At 39.1% G+C, this 23127-nt stretch overlaps 1 protein-coding gene across 23 annotated transcripts in view; it reads left to right on the top strand.

Annotated features, from left to right (window-relative positions):
* Nucleotides 1–16393, top strand: part of ZFAND4 (zinc finger AN1-type containing 4) — a 57314-nt gene extending 40921 nt beyond the window's left edge. For 15 of the 23 annotated variants that reach the window (XM_017016939.3, XM_017016933.3, XM_047426012.1 and 12 more), the window contains 4 exons: nt 4788–5942; nt 7256–7310; nt 13633–13753; nt 15322–16393. In XM_017016939.3, the coding sequence (XP_016872428.1) occupies nt 4788–5942; nt 7256–7310; nt 13633–13753; nt 15322–15457 (1467 nt within the window). In that variant the 3' untranslated portion in view covers nt 15458–16393. Of the gene's footprint in view, nt 1–4787; nt 5943–7255; nt 7311–11027; nt 11114–13632; nt 13854–15321 lie in introns of those variants that run through there. The other 8 variants (NM_001128324.2, NM_001282906.1, NM_001282905.1 and 5 more) reach the window with 4 other exon arrangements.
* Nucleotides 16394–23127: the final 6734 nt, after the last annotated feature.

The following is a 23127-nucleotide window of genomic DNA, read 5'->3' as shown; positions in this document are numbered from 1 at the left end:
GATATTAATTGTAGGTTTTTCTTCTATTTTTGTATTTTCCTATTTTCATTGATACGTAATAGATATATTTTCAGGGTACATGTGATAATTTAATACATGAATATAATTTGTAAACATCAGATCAGTGTAATTGGGATATCCATAACCTTAAATATTCATCTTTTTTTAATGCTAGAAACATTAGCCTTAATCCTTACATGATGGCTTGCCTGGATATAAAATGTTTGGTTCACATCTTTTCCCTTGAGTTTGTCTAAAATGTTGCTCTGCTATGCTTTGCTTTTTATATTGCCATTGAGAAATCTAATTACCAATCTTTCTTTTCTCTGTAAATGATTTGGTTTTTTTGTCTGGAGAAAATGAGGATTTTTTTTTCTTTTAAATGTAGTGGTTTTATTAGGATGTATCTTGGAATTAACTCTTCAGGGTCAATTTTCACTATACACTTGAGTCTTTTTAACATAAAGATTCAAGTCTTTTATTTCAGGATTATTTCTTAGAATTTATATGTTTTTTTTTTTTAGTACTTTATTTGTTTTTTTGTTTGTTTTCTTTTTTGGAATTTTTTTTTTTTGGGGGGCGGAGTCTTGCTGTGTTGCCCAGGCTGGAGTGCAGTGGCATGATCTCGGCGCACTGCAAGCTCCGCCTCCCAGGTTCACGCCATTCTCCCGCCTCTGCCTCCGGAGTAGCTGGACTACAGGCGCCCGTCACCACACCCAGCTAATTTTTTGTATTTTTAGTAGAGACAGGGTTTCACCGTGTTAGCCAGGATGGTCTCGATCTCCTGACCTGGTGATCCGCCCGCCTCGGCCTTCCAAAGTGCTAGGATTACAGACGTGAGCCACCGCGCCCGGCCTTTGGAGCTTATTTTATACATAAGTTAGAACATCGTCGTGGTCTTTTCTTTCTTTCTTTCTTTTTTTTTTTTTTTAAAGACAGGGTCTTGCAGTGTCACCCAGGCTGGAGTGCCATAGCCTGAGCTCACTGCAGCCTCGAACTCCTGGGCTCAAGTGACCTTCCTGCCTCAGCGGCATGAGATACCCCCTCTGCCCTGTTAGAACTTCTTTGTCTAATATACAACCACCTTCTCTCTTATCCTTTTAGATTCTTTATTTTATTTTTATTCTTTTGGCTGTTTTCATACCTTTCCTCAGTATTTTTGTTTTTGAGATGGAGTCTTGCTGTGTCGCCCAGGCTGGAGTGCAGTGGTGCGATCTTGGCTCGCTGCAAGCTTTGTCTTCCGGGTTCATGCCAATTCTCCTGCCTCAGCCTCCTGAGCTGGGACTACAGGTGCCTGCCACCACGCCCGGCTAATTTTTTTATATTTTTAGTAGAGACAGGATTTCACCCTCTTAGCCAGGATGGTCTCGATCTCCTGACCTCGTGATCCGCCTCGGCCTCCCAAAGTGCTGGGATTACAGGTGTGAGCCACCGCACCCGGCCTATACCTTTTCTCAGTATTCTTTATTAAATATTAAGTAGAATTTTAGTCTCCTGTGGGCACCTTGTAATTTAGTCTTCATTTCTGAGATGATTTTGTTTTCTGCAGAGTATTTCTGGGTTTGCTCAGCTCTCATTTCGTATCCTCCTATTACTTTTATCTATTCTGCCTTGAGTTTTTGCATTTATGATTTGATGAGATTTTAAAAAATATCTGCAAATACTAAAAGATACTTAATTTAGGTTGGGGTATTGTGATGGAGTTTTCTTTTGTTTCATTGTTTTAGGGAGGATTTTCATTAGCTAAAATGTTCTGATTCTCATTTTCTGTTTTATTTTTATAGCAGCTTTACATGGATTTGGTCTGCCTTTTTCTATTTATTTTCTAATTGTATTTTCTATAATTTTATTTACTTAGATGAGTATTAACAGTTATATATTAATACACAGAAGTGAGGATTTTGTGTAGGGAAGTAAGTTTCTTATTTCAAGAGCATCCTCTTCCTTTGGTGTAGTGAGATGCAGGTTTTTTAAATCAGTGACACACTTTTTTATTTGTTATTTTAAAAATTAATTTATTTTTATTTTTTGACATGGGGTCTTGCTCTATCATCCAGGCTGGGGTGTAGTGGCATGATCTTGACTCACTGCAACCTCTGCCTCCTGAGCTCAAGCGATCCTCCCACCTCAGCCTCCCAAGTAGCTGGGACTACGGGCTCCTGCCACCATGCCCAGCTAATTTTTTTGTATTATTGATAGAGATGGGTTTTTCTCATGTTTTCTAGGCTGGTCTTGAACTCCTGAACTCAAGCAATCTTCCCACCTTGGCCTCCCAAAGTGCTGGGATTATAGTTGTGAGCCACCATGCCTGGCTCAAATCAATGACACTCTTATTGGAGGGCAGTGTCAGTATGTTTTCTGATTTGTGATTCACTACTGTTTTTGAAGGATCCTTATTTTCCCTTTCCTGCTTCTTTCTTTACTTTTACTATCAAAGTCTCAATGGTTGCCTTTTCCTTTCAATTTACCCCTTCTCCCTTCAAAAAGTGATGTCTTCTTGAAGCTACCTCCTTTATCCTGAACAACTTTAATGCCCGGTGTGGTGGCTCATGCCTATAATCCCAGAACTTTGGGAGGCAGAGGTGGGAGGATCACTTGAATCCAGGAGTTTGAGACCAGCCTGTCAACATAGGGAGACCCCATCTCTACAAAAAATATAAAAATTAGCTGGGCATGGTGATGTGTGTCTGTAGTCCCAGCTGCTCGGAGGATCGATTGACCCTGGGAGGGTGAGGCTGCAGTAAGCCATTATTGTACCACTGCACTCTAGCCTGGGTAACAGAGCCAGACCCTGTCTCAAAAAATACACATAAAAATAAAGTCACTTCCTTTTAATTTCTCGGTAGCCTGTGTTTGATATCCCATATCTTAGATCTATTTTTAGTATCTTCATAATCAAGTGGGATTTTGTCTTTTGTGGATTTTTCTTTGTTCCATCAGCAAACCTCTCCTTTTCTTTCTTTATTTTTTTTCCCTTTTTTTTTTTTTTTTTTTTTGGTGAAGCTCCATACTTCTCCATACTTTTGCCTGTCTGTCACCACAGGCATAGGCTTTGCAGATGAGTTTCTTGGATTGGGGAATATTTTGAAGTTCATATCATATGTCTCCCAGTTTTTCTGATGCATGGGTTATGAGTGATTTTATTTGTGTATGTTGTTGATCTGTGTAGTTTTTCTGGAGCATGGAGAAATTCAGTTTTAGGCAGCTGTCATTAATTTCAACAGCCCAGAAGTCATATCCTTAATTTTTGAAGAATTTTTTGCTGGATAAAGAATTACAGATTGGGCCAGGCGTGGTGGCTCACACCTGTAATCCCAGCACTTTGGGAGGCTGAGATGGGTGAATCACCTGAGGTCAGGGGTTCGAGACCAGCCTGGCCAACATAGAGAAACCCCATCTCTACTAAAAATACAAAAATTACCTGGACATGGTGGCGGGTGCCCATAATCCCAGCTACTCAGGAGGCTGAGGCAGGAGAATTGCTTGAACCCGGGAGGTGGAGGCCTGAGATTGTGCCATTGCACTCCTGCCTAGGCGACAACTCTGTCTCTAGGATAAAAACATCTATAGGAGCCAGCTCATCTTTCCAAGGTTTCTTCCTTCTTAGCTCCTCTAATTTTTCTTGCCTCAGTTGGTATCCACTGAATTATCCAGCTTTTCTTATATTTTCATATATTTTATATCTTCTGTAAGTGGGAGCATTGGTATGTCATAAGGTATTCCATCCCATCCTCATGCCTGCTTGCTACCATTTTTGCTTATTTTTAAGAGCTAGATTTCTTGTGTTTAGTTCTCAACTTTATTCATAAGATCTTGAATTTTTGTGGTACTTTTTAAAAAATCTACCATGCCAGAGGGCACCAAGACCACCCCAGGTGTGATGGTTTGCTAGGAAGATTCACAGGGCTGTAGTATGTTGCTGTATATAGTTGTACTTATTACAGCAAAAAGATACAAGGCAAAATCAGCAAAGGTAAAAGGTGCATAGAGCCACGTCTGGAGGAAACCAAGTGCAAGCTTCCTAGAGTCCTCTTTCAGTGGAGTCTCATGAGATGTGCTTAGTCCTCTATCAGTGAGTTGTAACAATATATGTGAAATGTTGTTTACCGGGGAGGCTCATTAGAGACTCTGTGCCCAGGGATTTTACTGGGCCTCTTCATTGTAGGCACCCTCTGCCTAGCATTTGCGGTTCAGACTCCCAAAAGGAAAGCAAGTGTTCATCATGAACTGTATTATTGCGTAAATAGTTTGGCACAATGAACGACTCTTATCAGTTAGGTTCATGGGAACCCTCCTGAACCTCCTGAAATAGATGTTCCCAAAAGCCAGCCAAAGGCCAGTGTTGCCAGCAAGTCTTTTCAAGGATAGCAGTTTAGCCCTTTTAACTTTTTTTTTTTTTTTAGGATTGATAACTTTTTTTCTGTGTACCAGTCCAATGAAACATTTATTCAACATAGTAGGAAAAATTGTTGGAGATCTAAAATAGGTCAGCAATGTCATATCTAATATAATCAGTTCATTTTCTTTGTAGTAAAACTCTGAGAAACAGCAGTAAGGAAATAAAACAAAATTATTTTTCTTTAATATTCCCAGAAAAGTATACTCAGTGAAGGAAAATAGCATCTTCTCTGTCATAATCTTAAGATTTTATTCTTCTTAAACATTTTAAATTGAGATAGTAAAAATGCTAGTATGTTATGGTAAGTAACATTTTCTTCCTTCGCTAATTTTTGTTAATGGGCAGAGAAAACGACTGTGTAAAGAAACTGTATATTCATTCCTTTTAGCCTAAGAAAGCTGTCAAGATAAAACCTCACCCACCTGTAGCTCCTCGACCTTCTAGTGGTTCCACTGCACCATCTCGCCACCGATTGTTAAGGGTCCTCCCCAACATTGGTCAATCTTGTTCACCTGCTTTTGGGAATGCATATCCGCCCGAAATCTCCAGGAATGGAATTTCAAGTTTGGCAACTCAACTCTCTGCTGAGAGATACATATCTTCTATCACTGGTGAATTTCTTAAGGAAGATAATAGCTGGGAGAATAACACACTGTCTCACTTCAGTAGCAACGTCAAACTACCTCCTCAGATACCCCATTTGGAGTTGGGAAATGACCAGGAGCTTGCTGACTCTGTTCTCCATCTTGGATCATCCCTGCCTAGGCAAACAAAACATTTTTTAGGAAACTTGCCATCTAGTAATGGGAACATTGTCTTACCTTCAGAAGAATGTGTAACCGAACAATCACTTCTACCTAAAGTGGGCTCACTGGCTTCATTTGCAGAAGGAAATGCTGATGAACAGAGCAGCGGCTTAGAAGGTGCGTGCAAAGTGAATCTGGAGTTGCTACTCACTAATGCTGACAAAGGGTTGAAAGCTCCAGAGCAGCATCTCAAGCATGTTGCAGGAGTGCTGAATGGGGAATCAGTAGAGACTTCAGTTCTTAACTACCGGGAATTAAGTCCTCACAAGAATAGACTCTTGTCACCTCTTCGCTGTTCTGCACCAATGTCGCTACATAATTCTCTGGTGAAACCAGAGAGACAGTCCAAATGTTTTGAGTTTGGGAAGCTACAGCCTTCTTCTTCTCAGTCACTGGATGTTCAAAACATAACTGATTCTTCTTTCTCTAGGACTACTTGCTTTCAAGGTGTTAAAGTTGATTCACTTGGGAAAAGATCTGATGTTATTTCCAAAGTTGAGGCTCGGGATATCACAGAAATGACTAACAAGGCTTCCAAAGAGCCTGTTGGTTGTGTAAATAATATCAGTTTTCTTGCCTCACTGGCCGGGAGCACAAGCAGAAATAGATTACAGAGCACACGTGGGGCAGGCAGGCTTCAGAACTCTGGAACTGGGCTGTCTACAAACCTCCAGCATTTTCAGGAAGAAAACTTTAGGAAAAGTTCTCCCCAGTTAGAACATACAGGAGTTTTTTTGGTCAGTATTTTCCTTTCAACATGCTCTAGTAGTTATCCTTGTAGTGATTCAACTTATTTAAAGTTTGGTTTTTGTTTACATAAATAAGGAAGGCTAAGATTAGATTATTTTCATAAATTTATCTGAAAATGTTTATTTAGTTTGTATAAAATCTTGATAGTCGAATTTTGAATGCTGTTTTAGTCCTGAAATGAGAACAGTAATTTGAACATAAGTTAATGTAAACAGTTTATCAGATATGTATGTATATGTTGTACTCCTCAAACTCCTGGGCTCAAGCAATCCTCCTGCCTTAGCCTCCTGAGTAGCTGGGAATATAGGAACATGCCAATACACCCATATTTTCAAATACGTATTAAAAATATGTATTTTTAAATGCTAAATGTTTTTAATGTTTTTTTCCATCCCAAGTAAGAACTTTTTATTTGAGTCATCAAATTTCACTCTCTCTCTCCCTTTTTTTTTTTTTTTTTTTTTGAGACGGAGTCTCGCTCTTTCACCCAGGCTGGAGTGCAATGGCGCTATCTCGGCTCACTGCAAGCTCTGCCTCCCGGGTTCACGCCATTCTCCTGCCTCAGGCTCCCAAGTAGCTGGGACTACAGGCACCTACCACCACGCCTGGCTAATTTTTTTTGTATTTTTAGTAGAGATGGGGTTTCACCGTGTTAGCCAGGATGGTCTCGATCTCCTGACCTCGTGATCCACCCGCCTGGGCCTCCCAAAGTGCTGGGATTACAGGTGTGAGCCATTGCGCCCGGCCTTTTTTTTTTTTTTGAGACAGGGTCTCACTCTGTCACCCAGGCTGGAGCACAGTGGCATAATCATGGTTCACTGCAGCCTTGACCTCCAGGGCTCAAGCAATCCTCCCGCCTCAGTCTCTTGAGTCCCTGGGACTACAGGCACATGCCACCATGCCTGGCTAACTTTTATATTCTTTGTAGAGATGGGGTTTCACCATGTTGCCCAGGCTGCTCTCAAACTCCTGGAACACAGTGGTGCAATCACAGCTCGCTGCAGCCACGACGTCCCAGGCTCAAGCAATCCTCTCACCTCAGCTTCCTAAAGTGCTGGGATTACAGGCATGAGTCACAGCACCCGGCAAATTCTACCCTCTTAAAGATAAATAATAAGCACGATATTGCTAGATGTGGAATCAGGTTCTGAGTTAATTTAATTAAACAAAAATTGGAATAAATAATTTAAAATGAAAGTCCAACAGCATCTTAGTGATAAAATACAAGTATTTCATGTTTGTTGATCATTTCTATTCTTCATTGACTCACCTCTATAGATGTTTTGTGTTTTAATTGTAGTCTACCCATGGTGTTGGAATGAATGGAAATAATGCAGCAGCAGGGAAAAGCGTAGGTAAGCTACAGATAATTTTGAAAACAATACAAGGCTGATAATTACATAATTATGCATCCGGTTGAATTTTCAAAGAGAAATGGGAAGAACCTTCTCTGTGGCATGTACAGAGTAAATTCTGTCTCTAAATGCTTTTTCCAATTAAGAATAATTATGAGAACGGACTGTAGGACATATATAAAGAATAAAACAAAAATTGAAATTGAAATATATTATCTTGGAAGAGGTGTTATCTATGTCAAAAAAACCCACAAGATTATTGAAGAATGAACATGTAGTTCCCAACCACCTTAGTTGCTGGCCACTCTAGAGCCATGTGGGTTTTGAAGAATTACCCTAGAAAGATGTCTTTCAACATCATGGCCAAACATCAGAGGTGGTGGTAAGAATCTCTTTTTGATGAACTAGTCATTTCTGGATAAAAGAAAGGGACAGTCTGTAGGGCCAGCCCTTTCCAAGGCCTATTAGTGGAAGTGACCATGACATTAGCACTTCTTTCTACCAGTATGGTAACACATTAAAGATGCACCGGCCAGTCATTATTTTCAAGGAGGAAGGAAGCCATCTTTTTAAATGTTTTAATACCCAGACCAGGGATGGGAAACTCGTTACCAAAGATGTGCCACCTTTGTAGCCTCAAGGTTTTAAAAGATACCTTATTTGTTATGGTTGTCATGTGGGTTTTATGTTTTTATTGAAGACATTTAGGGTTTGTTTTTCATTCCTATGTAAGGCCCAAGGTTATAAAATCATAATCTATTTGCACATTTTTTCAATTATTTTGTACTGTGGTAAAATAAACATAACATAAATTTTACTGTCATAACCATTTTTAAGTATAAAGTTCAGTGACTTTCACATTGTTGGGGATCCATCACCACCACCTTTCTCTAGAACACTTTTCATCTTACAAAACTGAAACACTCTTCCCCCTCCCACCACCCTGGCAACCACCATTTCATTTCCTAATTCAATGATTTTTTAGGTACTCTAAGTACCTATGTAAGTGGAATCAAACAGTATTTGTCTTTTTATGACTGGCTTATTTCACTTATCAGAATGTCCTCAAAGTTTACCCATGTAGTAGCATATATCAGAAATTATTTTCTTTTTGGGGCTGATACTGTATTGTGCGTGTGTGTGTACACACACACACAATATACACATACACACACACCATATTTTGCTTATCCATTCATCTGTTAATAGACAGTTGTATTGTTTCCATGTTTTAGCTATTGTGAATAATGGTGCTGTGAACATGGGTGCACATATATGTCTTTGAGACACTACTTTCAATTCTTTAGAATATATACCCAGAAATGAAATTGCGGGATCAGAAGGTATTTCTATTTTTAATTTTTTGAGGAACCGTCATATTGTTTTCCACAGTTGCTGTACCATGTTTCATTCCATCGACAGTGCAAAAGGATTCCAATTTCTCCACATCCTTGGCAACACTTGTTATTTTCCTATGTTTTTGCTAGTAGCCATCCTAATGGGTGTGAGGTGATGTCACTGTGGTTTTGATTTGCGTATCTGTGACGATTAGTGTTACTGATTATTGATTCCCTAATTAGTGAAGTTGATTTCCTAATGAGTAGTTTCATGTGCTTATTGGCCATTTGTAGATCTTCTTTGGAGAAATGTCTTTTCATGTTTTTTTTTTCCCCGAAACCAAACTGTATCCAGCTTTATTAAAGATACTTTCCATAAACAATCATGGTATTTCAGGCAGTACATGGACAGACAGTCGTTAACAGTATACAACAACTTTCAAACTCCCGTCTTCAACGGACTACCAAAAATCAGAAAGCCACTATAAAACCCAATGAAGTATCTGATGTTCTGAACGGGGAAAGTTTAGAGTGAGGGTTGACATTTCACATTTAGCATGTTGTTTAACAACTTTTCACAAGCCAACCCTGACTTTCAGGAAGTGAAATGAAAATGGCAGAATTTATCTGAAGATCCACAATCTAGAAATGGAACCACTGCTCTTTTGACAGGTGCTATCTCAGTGGCATCACTGGAAAGTCCAGAATGCCTGACACATTAGGAAATCCGATGCCTGACACATTAGGAAATCCAGTTTGTCTATTTTCTCCTTTTGTTACCTGTGCCTTTGGTGTCATATCCAAGAAATCACCACCAAATCCAATACCATGAAGCTTTTCCCCTATCTTTTCTTCTAGAAGTTTTATAGTTTTAGGTCTTATGTTTAGGTCTTTGATCCATTTTGAGTTAAAATAGAGTGTAAAGTAAGGGTTCCACTTCATTCTTTTGCATGTGAACATCCCATTTTCTTATTAACTTTTGTTGAAACACTGTCCTTCCTCATTGAATGGTCTTGGCACCCGTGTTGAAAGTCATTTGATCATGTATACGAGGATTTGTTTCTGGACTGTCTACTCATTGGTCTATGTGTCTGTTTTATGCCAGTATCACATCGTTTTTATTACTGTAATTTATTGACTTTTAATGTTATAGTTGTTGTTTTTCGTTGACACATAACTCTGTCCTGCCCTAACGCACAACTGATCTTCTTGGAAATTTGCATTGCACCCATCCCTACTCACTCAGCTCTAGTTCAGTCTTCAGTGCTGGTTCACGTCTCACTGCTCTTCTGAAACTGCTATTGCCGTGGTCACTGACAATCTCCATAATTTCAAATCCATTGGATGCCTCCATATCTTTATCTTATTTGATTTTTGTGTCCTTCATTCTTGAAATAGTTTTTTTTAAAAAAAATTCTAGGCTATCACATTGTTATAAATTTTTACTTTTGTTTTAATCTTTTTTTAACCTCAGTTTTTGTTTGTTTGTTTGTTTGTTTTTTGTGAGGTGGAGTCTCACTCTGTCTCCCAGGCTGGAGTGCGGTGGCACGATCTCGGCTCACTGCAAGCTCCACCTCCCAGGTTCACGCCATTCTCCTGCCTCAGCCTCCCGAGCAGCTGGGACTACAGGTGCCCGCCACCACACCCGGCTAATTTTTTGTATTTTTAGTAGAAACGGGGTTTCACTGTGTTAGCCAGGATGGTCTCGATCTCCTGACGTCGGGATCCGCCCACCTCAGCCTCCCAAAGTGCTGGGATTACAGGTGTGAGCCACTGCGCCTGGCCTTAACCTCAGTTTTCTTCTGTCCTTTTTTTTTTTTTTTTAACCAGCCCTCTGCTTGTCCCCAGATATATGCTTTTTTGTTTGATTTCATTTAGATTTGAAGTATCAGCTGCTAGCTGCAGTAGAGCTGTGTAACTTGCTTCCATTTTTCTCTCACTGTAATAACTATCATTCTGAATTATCTAGAAGAGTCTATATACATTTTGATGCAAGTTTCATTTAATTGACTTCCTAAATTCCTCCATTGGTCCTCTGTTCTTTTCACTATAAGGTTTCCCTTGGAAACTGTATTCATTATTATAGATTTAGCCATTGATTTTAGGCAGACGACTACCAGCCTTGCGTCTGGAACACTGATTTATTACTTTTTGCTGCCTTTCTGTTGGGTCAGTTTTTGTAGATCCTGTTAGATGTTAGATAAAATATGAGACTAGGAAATGGCAAGCAAGTGAATTACCTCAAGTACCTTTCATCTTGTTGTGAAAAGCAACTCTTACCATCAATATGATTTTATGGGTTTTTTTCTTTATTCATCTGTTCAGTACACATTTGAGAGAAGGCTTCAGAGAGGAGTTGATAATTGATGATGTCTTACAGGATAAGTCAAATTCTACTGGGTTGACAAGGTAGAGTTTACTTTAGAAGAGATTGCAGATGTGGAAGGACTTGGTACATCCTTCGGGGTAGGTATGACATGGTAAATTACAGTGTCTCTGGATAGTTAGAAAGGCATTATATTGGACATAATAATACCTTAAATGCCAGTCCAAGGAATTTAGATTTTTCCTGTTTATAGTGGGGAATCAATATGTTTATTGATGGTTCCTAGTACACAGTAGTTGCTAATAGTTTTCTCTATTGGTAGAAGGATGTATGGAGGCTGCTCTCATAGAGTACTGCACTTATATTTTTGTGCTACCTCATTACTGTCACTAATGTATTCTCTGTCTCTACACATTCGCAAGAGTTCTTTTTTTTTAGACAGAGTCTCGCCCTGTTACCTGATTAGGCTGAAGTGCAGTGGCACGATCTCGGCTCACTGCAACCTCTTCCTCGCGGGTTGAAGTGATTCTTCTGCTTCAGCCTCCTGAGTAGCTGGGACTACAGGCGCGTGCTACCATGCCCAGCTAATTTATGTATTTTTAGTAGAGACGGAGTTTTACCATGTTGGCCTGACTGGTCTTGAACTGACCTCAGTTGATTCGCCCACCTTGGCCTCCCAAAGTGCTAGGATTACAGATGTGAGCCACCGCGCCCAGCCTCACAAGAGTTCTTAAATGAAAAAAAGTATGGAGAATATCAAGTTAAGCATCCCCTAAGAAAAGAAAAAAAATGAAAATGTGACTACAGTGAATTAAATTATCATCAGAGATTCTTCCACCATTGTTTAAGGAAGAATATCCTAAGCCTGAATTTTAAAGATGGTTTCGAGTAGATTAACATTCATTGGACATCTTGTAATATATGCCTTTCTTTGGTGTCTTGTGCAAGTGCAAGTAAATATCTTTTTAAAAATACTTTAAATAATGGAATTACTCCCTCACCTTTGTGAGATGTTCTTGGTATCTCTAAGTGCACTTGAGAAAGAAAACGTTTATTAACTGAGTTGGTACCCAGGCACCATTAGGAGTCTCTCAATTGTTTCAAATTTTGTTTCTAGTTTTGGCAAGATCTGGAAGTGTATTTTATACTGGTAATAAAGAAGATTTAATTTTGCTGGGCTTGTGTACAAATTACCTAATCTCTGTTGTGACAAAAAAAAAAAGACATAGAACCAATTAATTGTAAATCCAATTTTTTGAACCCTTTAAGAAATTTCAGACTTTTAGCTGCCAACTAAATACCAAGCTTAGGCCTCCTAAACCTTTTTCAGTAGTGGAGAAAAGGTCCCAGCACCATTGACACTACCAGTTTTTCCTCACTCCTTCCACTTGTTCTTGCATTCTTTCTTTGCCTCTTGCTTCTTAGCCTTTGTGTGACACCAAGCACATGTGTATTTGTACTGTTACTTTATCAACTATGGGCAGGAACTTTGAGCCTCTCTGCTTATGACTGGGGTTTGTTGGCATTTTGATCAGTTCTAAAAGACATTTAACTTAGTAATTAAAGAAATTGATTTGGCCTGGCGTGGTGGCTCACACCTGTAATCCCAGCACTTTGGGAGGTTGAGATGGGCGGATCATGAGGTCAGGAGTTCAAGACCAGACCAGACTGACCAAGATGGTGAAACCCCGTCTCTACTAAAAATACAAAAAAAAAAGCTGAGCGTGGTGGTGCGTGCCCATAGTCCCAGCTACTCGGGAGGCTGAGGCAGAAGAACCACTTGAACCCAAGACACAGAGCTTGCAGTGAGCCGAGATTGCGCCACTGCACTACAGCCTGGGCGACAGAGCAAAATGTCTCAAAAAAAAAAAAAATTGATTTAATTCTTTCTTATATAATAACAGATGTGCTCTTATTTTTAAGGTAAAAACTCAAGTTGATACAGTAATACAGAATTCAGTAAATATTTTTGGAAAACTAGTAGTACTGTGAAATTGAGCTGTGTACTGTTAGTTACTATTATTAATATGACATTTTATGTAATTATAACATGCTTAAAACTTTCAGAGTGCTTTTTACATATATGGATTGAGTTGACCTTAAAGTGCTTATTAACCTAGAGAGAAAAATACATGTTCTATTATGTTAAAAATAAACATATTGAAGTTTTGAAAGAATAAATGACTTGCTCATGGTTTGATGAACTGTCAGTGGTGTAATAGGACTAAAAGGCATGTTTCATGATATTCTGGTACTTCTTTTTGGTGTGAACAAACAGAATATTTATATTGCAATCATGTTCTCAGAGGCTTCATCAAATATGATTTTGAAGCAGACATTTTTCTTTATTCTCTGTCAAAATTTGGTGTACTTTATATAAACTGATTACCATTAGAAATAATGAGGAAAGTGGTGTGTATAAAAAGTTCTAAAAATATAAGTGCTAATCAGTAGAAACCTACCACATCTTAAAAGAAATAGTTCCACTGCAACTTGACCTGTAGATTTTATAAGTAATTTTAGATATAAAAATAGCACAAATTAATTTTTATGGCATAGATATTTACTTTGATAGGACTATGTTTTGTGTTTTGCTTAATAATATTTCATGTTTAGGATTTTATGCCTGTGTTAATCAAGGTGTCCTTTCTCTAAACAGGAGAATGTACTACTCATCACCTCCCACCTGTGAAAGCCCCTCTTCAGACAAAGAAGAAAACAACAAATCATTGTTTTCTTTGTGGAAAGAAAACAGGACTGGCTAGTAGCTACGAATGCAGGCAGGTTGGCGAGCTGGAGAAGCTCAGATGCTTTCTCTGTGATAACCCAGCTTGGGGATTATGCAAAATAAAATATTTAAATTGCCTGTTTATAACATCATTAAGATGATGTTCAATAGCTATCTTCAGTTGAACTTCTAATTGGCTGAAGTAAAGAACAAGTAGATAGCTCATGGGTTTCCAAAAGACAAAAACAGATCCTTCCTTGTCCTTTAAGTTAGGAGGTTTAAACCAATCTGAGAGTGTACCTTTTTCGTCTTATGATGAACCTGCTTGGATTTTGTTTGAGTGGCACCTTGGAAGAACCCCTCCCTGAATATTCTATTAAAAATTTAATTAAAAAATTAAAAGTTAATATAAAATAGATGAATAATATATTTCCAAAAAAGTATGACCTTTTTCTTACTGTAATTATTTATTTCATTAGTATTGATTGATATCCTCCAAGGATGTTATGTCATATTATCTTGGATGTCTGCCCTTAGATTGGGGCTAGGCTTGAATTAAAATAACTGCTGCTGCGGACTTTTTTTTTTTTTTTTTTTTTTCAGTACTGTAATCATAACTCACTGGAGCCTTGATGTCTTGGGCTCAAGCGATCCCCCTGCCTCAGCCTCCCTAATAGTGAGGACTATAGGCATGTGCCATCATGCCTGGTTAATTTTTTAAATTTTTTGTAGAGACAGATCTCACTATATTGCCTAGGCTGGTCTCAAACTCCTGGCCTCAAGTGATCTTCTCACCTTTGCCTCCCAAAGTGCTGGAATTTCAGGTGTGAGCCGCCACCACACCCATCCCAATCCCTGCTTTTTAGAGTGTATTCGGTTCGAATGAAAACAACCTATTTTGCTACTAGAAATATTTTTAAAAATCCTTTCATGGCATAGTTAGGTTTTACTATTTTAATTTTATCATGAGACTGAATTCCTCAGAAATTCAGAATTCTTTTAGGTTTACTAGGTATAAGAGAAACGATGGGCATATTTATCAGCTTTTTGCAGTTTTACTACTGATAGAGTTCTATACCCTGTTTCATTCTTTTTTTTTTTTCTTTTTTCTTTTTGAGATTGTGTCTCGCTCTGTCACCAGGCTGGAGTGCAGTGGCACGATCTTGGCTCACTGCAACCTCCACCTCCTGGGTTCAAGCGATTCTCCTGCCTCAGCCTCCCGAGTAGCTGGACTATAGATGCACGCCACCACACCCAGCTAATTTTTGTATTTTTAATAGAGATGGGTTTTCATCATGTTGGCCTGGATGGCCTGGAGATCCACCCGCCTCGGCTTCCCAAAGTGCTGGGATTACAGGCTTGAGCCACCGCCCCTGGTCTACCCTGTTTCAGTCAATAATGACTTCTTTATCATAAATTGTCATATTCGTAGATAATTAACTTGTTCTTTTTGGGGGTATTTATGCTTGTTTACGAATGGAAGGGAAATGTCAGCAGTGAAATTGCTAAAAAGAACCAAAGGGCCCCTGTTGGACTACCTGAAGTCAAGCTCCTGTCTCCCAGACAGATGAGCCTTTCATAGAAATACAACTATTCACGTAAACTTTTTTTGTGCTTTAGATGTGGAAACAACTTCTGTGCATCTCATCGTTATGCAGAAACTCATGGCTGTACCTATGATTACAAGAGTGCAGGGAGGAGATACTTGCACGAGGCAAATCCTGTGGTTAATGCACCAAAGCTTCCAAAAATCTAACTCTTCCTCTACATCTTACTGTTCTGCCCGGGATTCGTATTATAATGACAGAAGAAATGTTGTTTAGACTATTATTTTTGTTCGACTCTAAAAGATTTGCCAAATAACAAAAGCATACAATGCATACTGTTGGAGAACAAGAATGCTACTGTATTTTACATCTTTATTTCTTGGTGAAACAAAAGTTTTAAAAGTAGTTTTAACAACTTTACACTGGAATGATTTAGCTTTGTTATTGCATGTCTTGTGTTAAGTGTTTTGTATATGATATTGCAGTTTTACTAGGCAAATCTTCAAAAGATGCACTTTAGGAAACGAAATATTTCCTAAATAACCAGGCTTCCACATTGTACAGAATGAGCAGTCATGTAATGAATGGCTCTACTCAGATTGACCATATGGGTTTTTTCTTTTTCTTTCTTTTATTCTTCTCCTTCTTTTTTTTTCAGAGGTGGGATGGGTGGAGATTTTTTAAAAATCCCACGTGTGAAAGTTTACTGGCTTTATTAGCAAGTTCCTTTTTACTTCAAGCTACTTTTTATAAAAAAGAACATTTTTCCAGTGTGGTTTTTAACAGATAATACATTTCTTCCACATTCAGATTAGTATTCGGACATGAATCCATTCTATAAAACACATCGTGTTCATGATAGTGTATATTTTACTACTTTTTGAATGTTAATTTTAAAATAGAAGATGTCCCACTTGCCATTAAATATAGAAGCCAACTTTTTACCTTTTGAAATATGGCTACATTTAAAACAAAATCTCACAGCTCGGTTTTTCTTATTTGTTGAGTGCTATTACCAGGAGAAATTCAAATAAATATTCAATTTCATTATGAATTTCATTATTTATTTATAATAGTTTTTCTTTTATAAATAATTTTTCTTTTATAAAACTATTTAATTAAATGAGTGATTTATTTTACGTGGATAAAATAACTATCAGTATAAAAATATTCTTTTAGGATATTAAGGACCCTGTTCCCCAGGTGTAACCAGAAACCACTAAGGCACTTAGTGGCCACTTGCTGTATAGAAGCTCAGTTCAGACTGATGCTGAACCCTGGTAAACAACTAGCACCTAACCCAGGTAGACTCTGCAGCCCTGGGGTAGCAGACTCTGCTAAGAGTACCAGACTCTGCTAAGAGTACCAGAAGGCTAACTTAGGAGCTGTGAGGGGCCCCTTCCTCTACTTAAGGCTGAATGAACTGGAGAGCTCACTGCCCCTGCTCCTGTAAGAAATGAAATGTTGATGGAGACAGATGCCTTCAGACAAAGAGGGCAGTACATTCATAAGAGGGAATGGCTAAAAGTTAGCAGAGGAGCTATGCAAATGGGGGTTGAAGGCATGCTTTTTAAGAAGGGTGGATATAAGTAGATGAAAAATACTTTCATCTGTGTTATGAATAATTCAGTATTTCCTCCTGTATCAAGAAGACACGTGTTTTAGACACTTAAAATATAAGAACTGCCTTACAGAGTTAGACTGCTGAGAAATGGACCATAGCATATTTATTCTGCAAACAAATATGAATGCCTAGGGCCTACTTGATGTAGTGTGCTATGCTTTTTAAACCAAGACTATAAGTAGAAGTAAGTCTCATTCTAAGTTTTACTAAAGATTGTGGTGAAAGTTAAGTCTTTTTACTAGTTTTCAATAACTGACAGCTGAACTATTTTAATTCAACAAGTTATATCATTATATTGAGGGGCATTTCTTTATGCTTTAAATTCTTACACAGACACATTCCAAATTTTAGAGACATTGTATCTGTCTTTGCATTTCCAGTAATTAGCAGAGTAGATTGCCTGTAGGTACTGGTTAAACATTAGTTGAATAAATTGATGCATTGGACAACTTAACCGTGATTTTTTTTTTTTTTTGACATAGAGTCTTGCTGTGTCACCCAGGCTGGGTGCAGTGGTGCGATCTTGGCTCACTGCAACCTCTACCTCCTGGGTTCATGTGATTCTCCTGCCACAGCCTCCCGAGTAGCTGGGATTACAGGTGCCCACCACCATGCCTGGCTAATTTTTGTATTTTTAGTAGAGAAGAGGTTTCACCATGTTAGCCAGGCCAGTCTTGAACTCCTAACCTCAAGTGATCTGCCCACCTTGGCCTCCCAAAGCGCTGGGATTACAGCCATGAGCCACTGCACCTGGCCCATGCTTTTTTAAAAAAGGCATTTATATTGTTTTATTTAGCTAAGCCCATTTTATGTAACGAAGTTCAGTTTCTGGATTTTTTTAAAACAGCATTTAGTTTTAACAGCACTAAAAGTTTTAAATTTTTAACTTTTGGCTATGTGGAATATTTTCAGGTTATATTTAATGTAATCATTCTAAAAAGGGAAATCCAAATACTCAGGTGTCCTTAAAATCCTATCAGTGTACGTGTAACTTGTGGAGACAATTATTTTTTAAAAGACAGGAATTCATTTTCTCATATATGTTTAATGTGATTTTTCTTTTTTTTTTCTTTTTTTTTAGATGGAGTCTCACTCTGTTGCCAGGCTGGAGTACAGTGGCATGATCTCAGCTCACTGCAACCTCTGCCTCCGGTTCAAGTGATTCTCCTGCCCCAGCCTCCTGAGTAGCTAGGACTACAGGTGCGCACCACCACGCCCAGCTAATTTTTATATTTTTAGTAGAGACAGGGTCTCACCATGTTGGCCAGGATGGTCTCAGTCTCTTGACCCCGTGATCCACCCGTCTCAGGCTCCCAAAGTGCTGGGATTACAGGCATGAGCCACCGTATCCAGCCTATGTTTAATATGTTTTTAAGCCATCAAGACGAATACTCAAATTTTGCATCTAGTCATGTTTTTCAAAGTGTAAGCCGTCTACCACTCCTGGAACGTGAGATAATTTTAGGTATTACATGGGTGAACATTTGTAATAATTATATATTTTAATGTATTGGAAAATGTAAGTATAAGCAGCTTAAGTTGAAAATAATGTAAAATAAATTGATTTAGGTTAAAAATGTTGGTTTAAAATTGGCAAGGATTAATATAGCAAAAATCATAAAAATAAAACAATGAAATTTAAGGAATGAAGGCATGATATTTTAAGTTTTCTTTGAAAATTAAGTTAAACTTTTGAAATGGTTGATGAAACTAATATACATAGCTTTAGAAAAACTAAGGGTTAAAAAGTAAAATTTTATCATAGACACCCCCCTCCAATTTCTTCTAATAATTAATTTTAGTTTTTCTAGTTGTTACCATCATAACACTAGCCAGTATATTTTAGACGTTATTTTATTCTACTCTACTATTAAAAGTGAGGAATTAGCTTAACAACACATTACCTCAATACTTCCTAATTTTTGTCAGTGTATTAGTCTTTTCAGGCTGCCATAACAAAGTACCATAACCTACAGAAATTTTTCTCACAGTTCTATAAGCTAGAAGTCTCAGATCAAGGTCCAACAGGGTCAGTTTCTGGTGAGGGCTCTCTTCCTGGCTTGTAGACAGCTGCCTTCTTGCTTTGTCCTCACATGGCCTTTGTTCAATGTGTACACACAAAGTGGGTTGTGGGTGGGAGAAGAGCATGAGTGCTATCTGGTGTCTCTTCTTCTAAGGACACTAGTCTTGTCAGATCAGGGCCCCACCCTTATTACTTAATTTAATCTTAATTACTGTCTTACTCCAAATACAGCCACACTAGGGGTTAGGGCTTCAAAGTGGGAATTTTGAAGTGGGGGGCACATGCGTTCAATCTGTAACATACTGTCCGTGGCCTGCCAAAATCTGTGTTCTTGTCACATGTAGATATATTCTCTTCCATCCCAACCACACTAAAAGTCTTAACTTGTTTAAGTATCAACTCTAAAGTCTAAAATCCAAAGCCTAATGTAAGCATAAATCAGGTATGGCCGAGACTTTTGGTACCATTCATTCTGAGGCAAAATTCCTCTCCAGCTGTGAACCTGTGAAACCAGACAATATGCTCTTCCAAAACACAATGATGGGACGGGCATAGGAAAGACATGCCATCTCAGAAAGGAGAAACAAGAAAGAAAAAAAGGATGACAAGTCCCAAGCAAGTCCCCAAACCTGGCAAGGCAAATCCCATTAGGTCTTAAGGCTCTAGAATTATTCTTTTTGGTTTGATGCTATGCCCTCCAGGCCCACTTGCACTGTCACCCTTATGGCACTGGGCCTCAGCCTTGTCCCTGAGGCATTGGGCAGTGGGATCCTGGCCTCCCCTGAGTGAAAAAGCCCCACCCTTTGAAATGGAGGAGGAACTAGCCCTGCCTCTTAGGCCTGTGGTGAGAATGGCAGGCTGTGGTTCACGGACAGTATTTGAATCACTTTTGGGGCCATTCTTCACTTTTTAAAAGGGTAGCTCATGCTCACAGCCAGATAGCTCTGTTGTCTGTTTCTGTAGAATCTGAGAAGTCCTACAGCCTTCTTTCATTCCATTCTGATTTTTCCTGTCCCCTTTAGTCCTGGCTGACAGTATCTCTGCTGGTACAATCCCATCTCTATTCTTGGCTTCTGCTCAGGTGGCTGATTAAATCTGTAGTTCACACCCACACTAATGTTATCAAATGGTTGTTCAACCACACCTTTAATGTTCTCTTCCAAACAAGCTTTCTCATTTCTTCGCAATGTGGATAGGCTTGAGAATTTTCTATATCTTCAAGTTCTAGTTTCTTTTTGCTTAAAATTCCTTCGCTTTATCTCCTTGCATTTTAAGTGGTAGAGAAACCAAGTTGCTCCTTCAATACTTTGCTTAGAAATCTCCTTAGCTAAATTTAGATCCAGTTTCATTGCTCACAATTTCTGCCTTCCACAAAACACTAGAACACAACTATTTATTTCTTTCTATTTTATAACAAGAATCTCCTTTGTTTCTATTAACCTGTTCTGCATTTCTACCTAAGACTTCACCAGACGGGCCTTTAAAGTCCATCATGCCCACGAACATTCTGTTGATGATGATATATGTATTCTGTAAGAATATGGAGGCTTTCTCTCTGGCTCTCCTCTTTTCTTTCTGAGCCCTTATAAGAGTTACCTTTAATTCAATCATCTGTTGGACCATAGCTATCAACAGTCCTTCAGGACACTATAGACTTTTTTTTTAGCATGCATGTTAAAACTCCTCCAGCCTCTCACCATTACCCAGTTCCAAAGCCACTTCCACATTTTTAGGTATTTGTTACAGAAATACCACTTTTTGGTACCAAAATCTGTATTTATCTTCAGGCTGCCACAACAAAGTATAGTTGGTCCTCCATATCTAAGGGTTCCACATCCATAGATTCAACCAACTGGGGATAAAAATATTTCCGTTAAAAAAGGATATTTGCATCTATGTTGAACATGTACAGACTTTTTTTCCCTCTCATTCTCTAAATAAGGCAGTGTAATTACAAGAGGATGGGCATAGGTTATGTGGAAATACTATGCCATTTTATATAAGAGACTTGAGCATCCATGGATTTTGGGTTCTACAGGGGATCTTAGAACAAATCCCCCATGGATACCAAGGGACGACTGGGTGGCTTAAACAACAGAAATTTGTTTTCTCACAGTTCTGGATTCTAGAAGTCCCAAATCAAAGTTCAGCAGGGTTCTTTGTGGGTAAGGGCTCTCTTCCTGGCTTGCAAATGGCAGCGTCCTTGCTGTGTTCTCACCTGGCCTTTCCTTGGTACATGTGCAGCAGAGTGAGGGGCAGTGGGGAGACAACAAGCTCTTCAGTGTTCTTTCTTATAAAGATATCAGTCCTATTAGATTAGGGCCCTACTCTCATGACCTCTTTAGCCTTAATTACTTTCTTACTCCAAATACAGCCATGCATGGGTTAGGGCTTCAACATAGAAATTTGTGGGAGGGGGGACAAACATTCAGTCCATAAGTCAGTTATTTCAAATTCCCTATTCTACTGCAGTTAGACTAGTCCATGTTACCATAGCTTTTACCTGAGCTATTGCAATAGGTCCCTACCTAGGCTCCCTGAATTACTTCTATGCCCTTTACAACCTGTTTCTACACTTAGCCAGAGTGAGCTTACAGAAACAAAACTTTGAGCACATCAGTGTTTGAAATATTTCAGGACTTCCTCTGTTCTTAGAATAGACCCTGTGTTAACTGTTTGGCCTGCTATAACAGAATACTATAAAAACAACAGAAATGTATTTCTTACAGTTCTGGAGACCGGGAAGTCCAGTATGAAGGCACTAGCAGATCTGATGTCTGGTGAGGGCCTACTTGAAGATAGGTGACCATATTTTCATCATGTCCACATGGTGGAAGGCACAAGGGGCCTCCGTCCTGGGTCTCTTTTATAAGGGCTCTACTCCCATTAATGAAGGCTCTACCCTTGTTACCTAATCACTTCCCTAAAGCCCCACCTCAAAATACCATCACACTGGGAATTAGATTTCACCCTAATGAATTCAATGAGTTTTGGGAAGACATAAACATTCAGTCTATGGCAGAGCCAAATCTTTAACCTTTTCTCTTCCTAGTAAGGCTTCTGTTGTCTAGCCCACTCTTACTTCTCCAGCCTCATCTTGCACTGTTTCCCTAGGCTTCCTGGGATTTGCCCACATTCACTTTCTTTTAGCTTTTCCAACCTGTTTTCTCTTGTTAACACCCACTCTTCTTTCAGATGTCCACTCCATCATTACTTCCTGAAGGAAGCCTGCCAGGATATATTCCTGTCTAGGTCAGTGCCTTTCCTCTTGAAACCATTTTCTTTCCCTGAAAGGAAATCCACAACAGGTTTAATTGTGTGAGCCTTTGAGTTGGACAAGATGGCAAGTCCATGAAAGCAGGAATTGCTCTCCTGCCCATCTATCCATCCATGCTCCCAAGCCATCACCAGGCATTGTGCTTAAGCCCTCAATAAATATTTGTTGAATGAATGAAAAAGCTTTTAAGAATGTACTAAGTCTCGGCTGGGTTTGGTGGCTCATTCCTGTAATCTCAGCACTCTGGGAGGCAGAGGCGGGTAGATCACCTGAGGTCAGGCATTCGAGACCAGCCTGGCCAACGTGGTGAAACACCATCTCTACTAGAAATACAAAAATTAGCCAGGTGTGGTGGCAGGTGCCTGTAATCCTAGCTACTCAGGAGGCTGAGGCAGGAGAATCGCTTGAACCCGGGAGTTGGAGATTGCAGTGAGCCAAGATCATGCCACTGCCCTCCAGCCTGGGTTACAGAGCGGGATTCCATCTCAAAAAAAAAAAAAAAAAAAAGGGCGTGGTGGCTCATGCCTGTAATCCCAGCACTTTGGGAGGCTGAGGTGGGTGGATCACAAGGTCAGGAGTTCGAGACCAGCCTGGCCAGCATGATGAAACCCCCGTCTCTACTAAAAATACAAAAAATTAGCTGGGCGTGGTGGTGTGCTCCTGTAATCCCAGCTACTCGGGAGGCTGAGGCAGGAGAATCGCTTGAACCCAGGAGGTGGAGGTTGCAGTGAGCTGAGATCGTGCGAAGACTCCATCTCAAAAAAGAAAAAAAAGAATGTACAAAGTCTTTTTAGTGATCTATCCACTTTAAGTAGTATATGTTAGCCCTAAAGCATATTATGTTCTGTTAAATTATAGCCTTTTCTGCCTTTTTTTTAGGTTGACTTAAAATCTGACACTAATAAAGTTAAAATATTACATTTTTAGAAATATTTACTGAAGATCTAATTATGAG

Source organism: Homo sapiens, chromosome 10 (genome assembly GCF_000001405.40).
Source record: "Homo sapiens chromosome 10, GRCh38.p14 Primary Assembly".
Classification (NCBI taxonomy): domain Eukaryota; kingdom Metazoa; phylum Chordata; class Mammalia; order Primates; family Hominidae; genus Homo; species Homo sapiens.
The sequence above is the reverse complement of the archived record's forward strand: the minus strand, read 5'-3'. Positions and strand labels throughout refer to the sequence as shown.